We start from the raw sequence: 11,875 nt of genomic DNA, 5'->3' as shown, positions 1-11,875 counted from the left end.
TCCTAGCTACTCAGGAGGCTGAGGCATGAGAATCACTTGAACCCGGGAGACAGAGGTTGCAGTGAGCCAAGATTGCACCACTGCACTCCAGCCTGGGCAACAGAGTGAGACTCTCTCCAAAAGGAAGAAAAAAAAATCTATCCGGGCTTGGTGGCATGTGCCTGTAGTCTCAGCTACTCTGAAGGCTGAGATGGGAGAATGAATTGAGGCCAGGAGTAATTTGAGGCTGCAGTGAACTATGATTGTGACACTGCACTCCAGCCTGGACTGCAGAGCAAGACCCTGTCTCTTATACATACATACATACACACACACACACACATACATACATACATACATACATACATACATACCCAGGCTCTACCTCCAGTGATTCTGACTCAGTAGGGCTGGGTATCCCCTGGGGATCCTGCGGTTCAGCCTGGTCTGGGATCCACTTCTCACTGGGAACTGAGAAACTGGCTGTGAGCCTTTCTGTCCTGAGATGTAGAGCTCATGGCGATGCAGGTTCAAGCTTAAGGAGACCTGACTGTGCTTTAGGTATTGTGCTGAACCTCATCTTTTACTCTCACAGCAACATCCTTAGAAGGTTAATGATGTGTCCCTGCTCTACAGATAAGGAACTGAGCTTTCAGAGGAGTTTAGCTTGTTCAAAACTTATTCTTCCTACTGGAAACTTTGTACCCTTTGACCAGTGTCTCCTATCCCCTACGTTTCCACCCCAGCCCCTGATATCCACTGTGAGGAGGGTCTTGCTATAGCAGATGGCCCAAAGACCGTTGATGGATCATGAGCAGCTGGAAGAATGGAGAGTTCGGGGGATGTAGTTCCTTCCTGGCTTTCCAACAGTGTGTAAGCCCAGAATTCTTACATAAGCCCATGGAGAAGGGAAAGGAATGCTGGTAACGACAAGATTGAATTCTCCACCTGCCAGGCATCCAGGGACTCACAGCAGATTTAACTGAAGTTACAGAAATAGGAATGTGACATTTCCTACATACGGGTGTGCTGGAGCAAATGTATTCCCTCTCTGGTTTGTGGGGAAGGAGAATGCTAACAGACAAGACTCCAGGTTTTCGCTCTTAAACCTGGTGCCTAGAAATGCATTTTCTACTGGATGCAGACAGAAGCTCCATATAGACATATCCATCGCTGCATCTCTCCTGCCTTGTGTTGTCCCTAATTTTCCCTTTTTAACCCACAGAGGAAGAAAGTTCCAGCATCACTTCTGGCCTCTCAAGAGTGAGTTAGGTGGCCAGGTGGGGTTATTCATGCCTGTAATCTCATACTGAAGGGGTGGCCTGCCCCTCCACACCTGTGGGTATTTCTTGTCAGGTGGGATGAGAGACAGAAAAGAAATCAGACACAGAGACAAAGTATAGAGAAACAGCAGTGGGCCCAGGGTACCGGCGCTTAGCATACCAAGGACCTGCACTGGCACGGGTCTCTGAGTTCCCTCAGTTTTTATTATTATCTTCATTATTTCAGCAAAAAGGAATGTAGTAGGAGGGCAGGGTGATAATAAGGAGAAGGTCAGCAACAAACATGTGAGCAATAGAATCTATGTCATAATGAAGTTCAAGGGAAGGTACTATGACTGGACGTGTACGTAAGCCAGATTTATGTTTCTCTCCACCCAAACATCTCAGTGGAGTAAAGAATAACAAGGCAGCATTGCTGTAAACATGTCTCGCCTCCCACCATAGGGCGGTTTTTCTCCCATCTCAGAATTGAACAAATGTACAATCGTGTTTTATACCGCGACATTCAGTTCCCAGGGGCAGGCAGGAGACAGCGGCCTTCCTCTCTCTCAACTGCAAGAGGCTTTCTTCTTTGGCTAATCCACCTCAGCACAGACCTTTTACAGGTGTCGGGCTTGGGGACCGTCAGGTCTTTCTCATCCCACGAGGCCATATTTCAGACTCTCACATGGGGAGAAACTTTGAACAACACCCAGCTTTCAACGGCAGAGGTCCCTGCGGCTTTCCACAGTGCATTGTGTCCCTGGTTTATTGAGACAAGAGAATGGTGATGACTTTTACCAAGTATACTGCTTGCAAACATTTGGTTAACAAGGCACGTCCTGCACAGCCCTACATGTCTTAAACCTTGATTTCATACAACACATGTTTTAATGAGCTCCAGATTGGGTCAAAGTGGTTGGGGCAAAGTGGCTGGGGCAAAGCTACAGATTAACAACATCTCAGCAAAGCAATGGTTGAAAGTACAGGTCTTTTTCAAAATGGAGTCTCTTATGTCTTCCCTTTCTATGTAGACACAGTAACAGTCTGATCTCTCTTTCTTTTCCCTACATATCCCCCTTTTCGTTTTGACAAAACCACCACCATCATCATGGCCCCTTCTCGCTGGTCGCTGTCTCTCTGGAGCTGCTGGATTCACCTGTAGACTAAAAATAGAAAGGACAGAAATACAAGGATTAATACAAAATTTGCAATAGTGGAATTTGCGGTGGTTTTAACCCAAGTGACGGGGGCAAGAGGACGGTGTGGGTGCTGCGGCACCAAGGCAGTCTCCCACCTCCTTTGTGTCTTAGTTGCTGTTTCTCATAGTTTTCAGTCTTTCTCCTCACCTGCTGACTCGCGCCTTTTATCTCTTTGTCTCCCTTCTCTTACGGTCTCTCTCTCTCTCTCTTTTACACTCTCTCTCTCCCCAGTCTCACTTTCTGTGTCTCTCTCTGATCTCTGTCTCTTTTTCTTTCTCTTCCTCTCCCTGACTCTCCACATGTGCCTTTTCCTTGGTGGATTGTAACTTCATCTGTTCTTCTGATATCACCATTTTGTTCACCCTGCGAGTCGATGATGCTCGATTGCGGGTTTTCTGTCTCTGTAGAGGCACTTTCATTTGCATCTCTGATGGGTTCATTGTAGAACTTCAAATGTTTAGTGGGTATCCAAACAGGAAGCTGATTTTCTCCTCGTGAAACACAAGCAAAACCTCTCCCCCATGTTATCACCTTACCTATTTCCCATGTTTTGTTTCTGTTGTCTTTCCACCAAATCAGTTTTCCCTCATGTGGTCTGTTCTTTTTACCAGTAAAATGTTCTGCAGAAGTAGTGGTCTGATTTCTAAGTATGTCTAGAAAATCTAAAGTATAGAGTGTTAGATTAAGTTGCATCTGGGGAGTGCTATACTCCTTATTGTCTTTTTCCTTTTTTTGTTTAACCAATTGAGCTTTGAGTGTTCTAAACAGGACAGGTAAGATCTGCATCTGGCACAGTCAGCCAGGTCTCCTTACCCTGTGCTTCCCTTTCTGCCTGTGACTGAATGGGCATGTCAAGGTCTAATAGGAGATCCAGGAGGAGGAAGCCTCATTAACTTCTATTCTGCAGCAATTGATGGCCACCCAACTTGAACAGTGGGGGCTTATCACCTCATGTACTAAGACCAGAGATAGCTGATGCCAAGGTTGGCAAAATTAGTAGCTTGAGATGTTAGGTTTTTCATTTGAGGTTTCTACGCTGCTATTGTCTTCTGCTCTTGGTCACAAAGGCTGCCACAATCCGCATGTCAAGTCCTCATGTGACAATATCCAGACAAAGCAAGGAAGAGGTACAGTGTATTCCTGCATGTTTCTTAAAAAAATATTTTTGATAGAGAATAATTGTACACATTTATGGGGTCCATGTGAGATTCTGGTACATGTATGCAATGTGTAATGATCAAATCAGGGTCTTTAGGATATTAATCACTTCAAACATTGATCATTTCTTTGTGTTGGGAATATTTCAAATCTTATTGCTATTTAGAAATACACAATAAATCTATTTATCAGGATACAATATCTATGTACACATATCAGTAGCAGTGCTATACACCAGCATCTACCAGGCTGAGAATCAAATCAAACCCTTTTATAATAGCTGTAAAAATAAAATACTTAGGAATATATCTAACCAAGGAGGTGAAAGACCCCTACAAGGAAAACTACAAAACACTGTTGAAAGAAATCATAGATGACAAAAACAAATGGAAACACATTCCATGCTCATGGATGGGTAGACTCAATATTGTGAAAATGACCATACTGCCAAAAGCAGTCTACAAATTCAATGCAATTCCTATCAATGTACCATCATCATTCTTTATAGAACTAGAAAAAAAAATGCCAAAATTCATTTGGAACTAAAAAAGAGTCTGCAAAGCCAAAGCAAAACTAAGCAAAAAGAACCAATCTAGAGGCATCACATTACCCAACTTCAAACTATATTACAAGGCTATAGTCACCAAAACAGCATGGTTCTCGTATAAAAATAGGCACATGACCAATGGGACAGAGTAGAGAAGCTAGAAATAAAGCCAAATACTTAAAAGCCAACTGATCTTCAACAAAGTAAACAAAAACAAAGTAAGAAAATTACACCCTATACAACAAATAGTGCTGGGATAATTGGCAAGCCACATGTAGAAGAATAAAACTGGATCCTTATCTCTCACCTTATACAAAAATCAACACAAGATGGATCAAATACTTAAATCTAAGGTCTGAAACCATAAACATTCTAGAAGATAACATTGGAAAATGGTTCTACACATTGGCTTAGGCAAAGAGTTTATGACCAAGAACCCAAAAGCAAATGCAACAGAAACAAAGATAAATAGACGGGACTTAATTAAACTAAAGGCCTCCTGCACAGCATAGGGAATAATCAGCAGAGTAAACAGATCACCCACAGAGTGGGAGAAAATTTTCACAAACTGCATCTGACAAAGGACTAATGTCCAGAATCTACAGGGAACTCTGATCAGCAAGAAAAAAATAATCTCATCAAAAAGTGTGCCAAGGACATGAATAGACAATTCTCAAAAGAAGATATACAAATGGCCAACAAACATATGAAAAAATGCTCAACATCACTAATTACCAGGGAAATGCAAATCAAAACCACAATGCAATACCACGTGTAAAATAAACAAAAAGAGGGCCGGGCGCTGTGGCTCACGCCTGTAATCCTAGCACTTTGGGAGGCCAAGTTGGGTGGATCTTGAGGTCAGGAGTTTGAGACCAGCCTGACCAACATAGTGAAACCCAGTCTCTACTGAAAATACAAAACATTAGCCGGGCATGGTGGCAGTTGCCTGTAATCCCAGCTACTCAGGAGGCTGAGGCAGGAGAATTGCTTGAACCCGGGAGGCAGAGGTTGCAGTGAGCTGATATGGCACCACTGTACTCCAGCCTGGGCGACAGAGCGAGACTCCATCTCAAAAAAACAAAAACCAAAACAAAACAAAAAAACAAAAATTGATGTTGGCATGGATGTGGTGAAAGACAACGCTTTCACACTGATGGTGGGAATGTAAGCTAGTACCACCACTATGAAAAGCAGTATGGAGATTCCTTAAAGAATTAGAAGTACATCCACCATTTGATCCAGCCATCCCACTGTTAGGTATCTACCCAGAGGAAAAGAAGTCATTATATGAAAAAGATACTTTTGCACACATGTTTACAGCAGCAGAATTCACAGTTGCAAAACTATAGGATCAGCCCAAATGCCCATCAATCAATTAGTGGATAAAGAAAATGTGTTATATATATGTATACCATAGAATACTACTTAGCCTTAAAAAGGAATAAAATAATGACATTCATAGCAACCTGGGTGGAGTTGGAGACCATTATTCTAAATGAAGTAACTCAGGAATGGAAAACCAAACATTGCGTATTCTCACTCGTAAGTGGGAGCTAAGCTACGATGATGCGAAGGCACAAGAATGAAACAGTGGACTTTGGGGGCTCAGGGGGAAGGTGGGAGGGGGTGAGAGATAAAAGACATTGGGTAAACTGCTTTGCTGATGGGTACGCCAAAATTTCAGAGATCACCACTAAGGGACTTACCCGTGTAGCAAAATACCACCTGTTCCCTAAAAACTATTGAAATTAAAAAAAAGAAATATACAATAAATTGTTGTAGTCACTTTCTGTGATAATAAACACTAGATCTCATTCCTTCTATTATATATTTTTATACCCATTAATCAACCTCTTTTCAAACCCCTCCTATTCCTAGCCTCTGGCAACTATCATTCTACTCTTTATCTCCATGATATCAATTTTATATAGCTCCAGGGCACACAAGTCCATAACTGCGGTCTCTATCCCTGACCCTACTGACCTGAAATATGGCCCCGCTTTGATTTCCAGGAGCATAAACCGCTCATATAAGTGAGAACATGCAAGTTTTCTTTCTGTGCATGGCCTAGTTCACCTGACATTATGACCTTTAGTTCCATCCATTTAGCTGAAAATGACAGGATTTCATTCGTTTTTATGGCTGAATACTATTCTATTGTGAGTATATTCCCATTTTCTTTATCCATTCATCCATTGATTGACACTTAGATTGATTCCATATCTGGGCTATTGTAAAGAGTGCTGCAGTAAATATGGGGGTACAGATATCCCGTTGATACACTGATATCTTTTTTTGGATATATACCCAGGAGTGGGATTGCTGGATCATATGGTAGATCTGTTCTTAGTTTTTTGAGAAATCTCTGTACTTTTTTTCATAATGGCTGTACTAATTTACATTCCCACCAACAATATACGATAATTTTCTTTTCTTCACATGCTTGCCAGCATTTGTTGTGCTTTGTCTTTTTAATACCCATTCTAACAAGTGTGAGATGATATCTCACTGTGGTTTTGATTTGCATTTCCGTGATGATTAGTGATGTTGAATATTTTTTCATAAACTTGGTGATTTGTATATTTTCTTTTGAGAAATGTCTGCTTATTTTTTGATAGTTTCTTTTGCTGTGCAGAAGCTCTTTCATTTAATTAGATCCCATTTGTCAATTTTTGCTTTTGTGGCAATTGCATTTGGCATCTTCACCATGAACTCTTTGCCCATCACTATGTACCGGATGGTATTGCCTAGGTTGTCTTCAGCGTTTTTATAGTTATGGGTTTTACATTTAAGTCTGTAAGCCATCTTGAGTTAATTTTTGTGTATGGCGTAAGGGAGGGGTGTTGTCTTTTCACTCTGTTGATTGTTTTCTTTGATATGCGGAAGGTATTTAGTTTAATATAATCCCATTTGTCTGTTTTTGTTGCTTGTACTTTTTAAGTGTTAGCCATACAATCTTTGTTCTCAAGCGTTTCTCCTGTGTTTACTTCTAGTAGTTTTATAGTTGTGGCTGTTACATTTAAGTCTTTAATTTATTTTGAGTTTATTTTTGTAAGTGATGAGAGATAAGGGTCTAGTTTTATTCTTCTGTGTTTGGATATCTAGTTTTCCTGGCACCATTTAATGAAGAGGGTGTCCTTTATTCAATGTATGTTCTTGACAGCTTTCTTGAAAATCAGTTAGCTGTAAATATGTGGATTCATTTCTGGATTCTTTAGTCTGTTTCCTTTGTTTTTGTGTCTGTTTTAATACCAATACACGCTGTTTTGGTTACTATAGCTTTGCAGTATATATATATATATACTGTATATATATATACACACACATATATACGTATATAATACGTATATATACATATATACGTATATATACGTATATATACATATATACGTATATATACACGTATATATACATATATACGTATATATACACGTATATATACATATATACATATATACGTGTATATACACGTGTATATATACATATATACGTGTATATACACGTGTATATATACATATATACGTGTATATACACGTGTATATATACATATATACGTGTATATATACGTGTATATATACATATATACGTGTATATATACGTGTATATATACATATATACGTGTATATATACGTGTATATATACATATATACGTGTATATATACGTGTATATATACATATATACGTGTATATATACGTGTATATATACATATATACGTGTATATATACGTGTATATATACGTGTATATATACATATATACATATATAGGTGTATATATACATATATACATATATATGTGTATATATACAGATATATACGTATATACATATATACGTATATGTATACATATATACACATATATATACATATTTTTTTTCTTTTTGAGATGAAGTCTTGCTCTGTCGCCGAGGCTGGAGTGCAGTGGCGTGATCTCTGCTCACTGCAAGCTCTTCCTCCCGGGTTCATGCCATTCTCCTGCCTCAGCCTCCCGAGTAGCTGCTGGGACTACAGATGCCCGCCACCATGTCTGGCTAATTTTTTTTTTTTTTTTTTAGTAGAGACGGGGTTTCACCATGTTAGCCAGGATGGTCTCGATCTGCTGACCTTGTGATCCACCCGCCTTGGCCTCCCAAAGTGCTGGGATATAGGCTTGAGCCACCTCACCCGGCCTCTTTGCAGTATATTTTTAAATCAGGTAGTGTGAGGCTTCTAGCTTTGTTCTTTTTGCTCAGTATTGCTTTGGCTATTTGGGGTCTTCTGTGGTTCCATATGAATTTCAGGGTTTTTTTTTCCTGTTTCTGTGAAGAATATAATTGATAGGGATTATACTGAATCTCTAGATTGCTTCGGGTAGTATGGTCATTTTAACAGTATTAGTTATTCCAACCCACGAGCATAAGATGCCTTTCCATTTGTTTGTGTACTTCTCAATTTATTTTATCAGTGTTTTGTGGTTTTCATTGTAGAGGTTTTTTGTTTTTTTTTTCCTCATCCTTGGTTAAGTTTATTCCTAGGTATTTTATTTTTGTAGCTATTGTAAATAGAATTTCTTCCTTGATTTCTATTTTAGCTAGTTTGTTACTGGTATATAGAAACATTACTGATTTTTGTACGTTGATTTTGTGTCCTGAAGCTTTACTGAATTATACATCCGTTTTTAGAAATGTTTTTTATTTTTTATTTTTTATTTTTTGAGAGTCTCTCTTTTCCAGGCTGGAGTGCGGTGGTGCAATCTTGGCTCACTGCAACCTCCACCTCTCGGGTTCAAGCGATTCTCCTGCTTCAGCCTCCCAAGTAGCTGGGATTACAGGCACCTACCACCATGCCTGGCTAATTGTATTTTTGGTAGAGACAGGGTTTCACCATGTTGGCCAGGCTGGTCTCAAACTCCCAACCTCAGGTGATCCGTCCACCTTGGCCTCCCAAAGTGCTGGGATTACAGGCATGAGCTACCATGCCCAGCCTAATTTATTTTAAGAGTTTTTTGGTAGAGTCTTTAGGTTTTTCTGTTTACAGGTATAAGATTATGTCATTTGCAAAGTGAGACAATGTGTCTTCCTTTTGTCCATTTGGGTGCCTTTTATTTCTTTATCTTGTCTGATCACTTTGGCTTGGATGTCCCATACTGTGTTGAATAAGAGTGGTGAAAGTGGGCATCCTTCTCTTGTTCCAGTTCTTAGAGGAAAGGCTTTTCAATTTTTCCCAGTGAGTAGGATGTTAGCCGTAGATTTGTCATATATGCCTTTTCTTAGGTTGAAGTGTTCCTTCTATGCATAATTTGTTGAGAGTTTTCATCATGAAGGAATGGTAAGTTTTACTGAGTGATTTTTCTGTATCTGCTGAGATGATCAGACAGTTTTTGCCTTTCATCTTGTTGATGTGATGTATCACATGTATTGATTTGTGTATGTTGAGCCATCTTTGCATTCCTGGGATAAATCCCACTTGATCATGGTATATTATCTTTTTCATTCATCATTACATTTGACTTGGTAGTATTATGCTGAGAATTTTACCATCTATGTTCATTAGGAATATTGGCCTGTAGTTTTCTCCTTTTGTTGTGTCCTTGTCTTGATTGGATATCAGGGTAATGCTGGCCTTATACAATGAGTTAGGAAGAATTCCTTCCTCTTCAATTTTTGGGAATAGTTTGAGAAGAATTGGTGTTTGTTTTTCTTTATAAATTGGGTAGAAATCAGCATAAAAGCCTAGTCTAGGGCTTTTCTCTTTTGGGAGACTTTTTGTTACTGATTCAAACCTGCTATTCATTTTGGGTCAGTTCAGGTTTTCTGTTTCTTCCTAGTTCAATCTTGGTAGGCTGTGTATGTCTGGGAATTTATCCCTTTCCTCTAGGTTTTCCAATTTGTTAGCATATGGTTGTTCATAATAGCCTCTAATGATCCTTTTTATTTCTTTGGTAACAGTTGTAATGTCTCCTTTTTCATTTCTGATTGTATTTATTTGGGTCTCTTTTTTTGTTGTTGTTAGCCTCACTAGTCGTTTATCAATTTTGTTTAACTTTTCAAAAAACCAACTTTTATCTTGTTGATTGTTTGCATTTCTTTTTTGTCTCTGTTGCATTTGGTTCTGCTATGTTATTTATATTTTTTCTTTCCACTAATTGTGTGTTTGATTTGTTCTTGCTTTTTGAGTTCCTTGAGGTGCATCATTAGGTTGTTTATTTGAAATCTTTCTACTTTTTTGGTGTAGGCATTTATTGCTATAAACTTTCCTCCTAGTACTGCTTTTGCTGTATCCCATAGGTTTTGCATAATGTGTTTCCATTTTCTGTTTAAAAAAAATTTTTGATGTCCATCTTAATTTCTTCATTGACCCAATGATTATTCAATAGCATGTTTAATGTCCATGTATTTGTACAGTTTCCAAATTTCTTCTTCTTATTGATTTCAAGTTTTATTCCATTGTGGTCTGAGAAGATACTTGATATGATTTTAATTTTTAAAATTTTGTGCAGCCTTGTTCTGTGTCCTAACATATGGTCTATCCTGGAGAATGTTCCATGTGTTGATGAGATGACTGTATATTCTGCTGCTGCTGGATGAAATATTCTGAAAATATCTGTTAGGTCCATTTGGTCTAAAGTGCAGCTTAAATCTAATGTTTCTTTGTTGCTTTTATGTCTAGATGAACTGTCCAATGCTGACAGTAGGATATTGAAGTTCTCAACTATCATTGTGTTGGACTCTATCTCTCCATGTAGATTTAATAATATTTGCTATAAGTCTCTGGATGCACTTGTGTTGGTTGCATGCATATTTGGAATTGTTATACTTTGTTGCTGAATTGATCACTTTATTACCATATAATGACCTTCTTTGTCCTTTTTACAGCTTTTGACTTAAAGTCTGTTTTATCTGATGTAAGTTTAGCTACTCCTGATTATTTTTGATTTCTGTTTGTGTGGTATATATTTTTCCATCCCTTCACTTTCAGTCTGTGTGTGTCTTTACAAGTGAAGTGAGTTTCTTGTAGACGTTGTTGGGTCATTTTTTATCCATTAAGCCTGTCTCTATCTTTTAGGTAGGTAATTTAACCCATATTCGAAGTTATTATTGATAGGTGAGGACTTATACCTGTCATTTTGTTCATTGTTTTATGTTTATTTTGTATATCCTTTTGATATGGTTTGGCTGTGTCCCCACTCAGATCTCATCTTGAATTCCCATGTGTTGTGGGAGGGAGGCAGTGGGAAGTAGTTGAATCATGGAGGCAGGTATTTCCCATGCTATTCTTTTAATTGTGAATAAGTCTCATGAGATCTGATGGTTTTAAAAGGAGGAGTTTCCCTGCTCAAGCTCTCTCTTTGCCTGCTGCCATCCCTGTAAGATGTGATTTGCCTCTCCTTGACTTCCACAATGATTTTGAAGCCTCCCCAGCAATGTAGAACTGTAAGTCCATTAAACCTCTTTCTTTTGTAAATTTCCCAGTCTTGAATGTGTCTTTATCAGCTGTGTGAAAATGGACTAATACAGTAAATTAGTACGATAAGTGGGCTGTTGCTAAAAGATACCTGAATATGTGAAAGTGACTTTGGAACTGGGAAACAGGCAGAGGTTGGAACAGTTTGGAGGGCTCAGAAGGAGACAGGAAAATGTGGGAAAATTTGGAAGAGATTTCCTAGAGACTTGCCCAAAATGCTGATGGTTATATGGACAATAAAGTCTAGGATGAGTTTGTCTCAGATGGAAATGAGGAACTTGTT

The 11,875-nt window shown here is 38.8% G+C and overlaps 1 long non-coding RNA gene across 2 annotated transcripts in view; it reads right to left on the bottom strand.

Moving 5' to 3' along the window:
* Positions 1,449 to 11,875, bottom strand: part of LOC101928217 (uncharacterized) — a 43,451-nt gene continuing 33,024 nt past the window's right edge. The window contains exon 5 of one of the 2 annotated variants that reach the window (XR_001741554.2): positions 1,449 to 2,407. This is a non-coding gene — a long non-coding RNA (uncharacterized LOC101928217). The remainder of the gene's footprint in view (positions 2,408 to 11,875) is intronic. The other variant, XR_001741555.2, reaches the window with a different exon arrangement.

This window comes from Homo sapiens, chromosome 4 (assembly GCF_000001405.40).
Source record: "Homo sapiens chromosome 4, GRCh38.p14 Primary Assembly".
NCBI classification, from domain to species: Eukaryota; Metazoa; Chordata; class Mammalia; order Primates; family Hominidae; genus Homo; species Homo sapiens.
The sequence above is the reverse complement of the archived record's forward strand: the minus strand, read 5'-3'. Positions and strand labels throughout refer to the sequence as shown.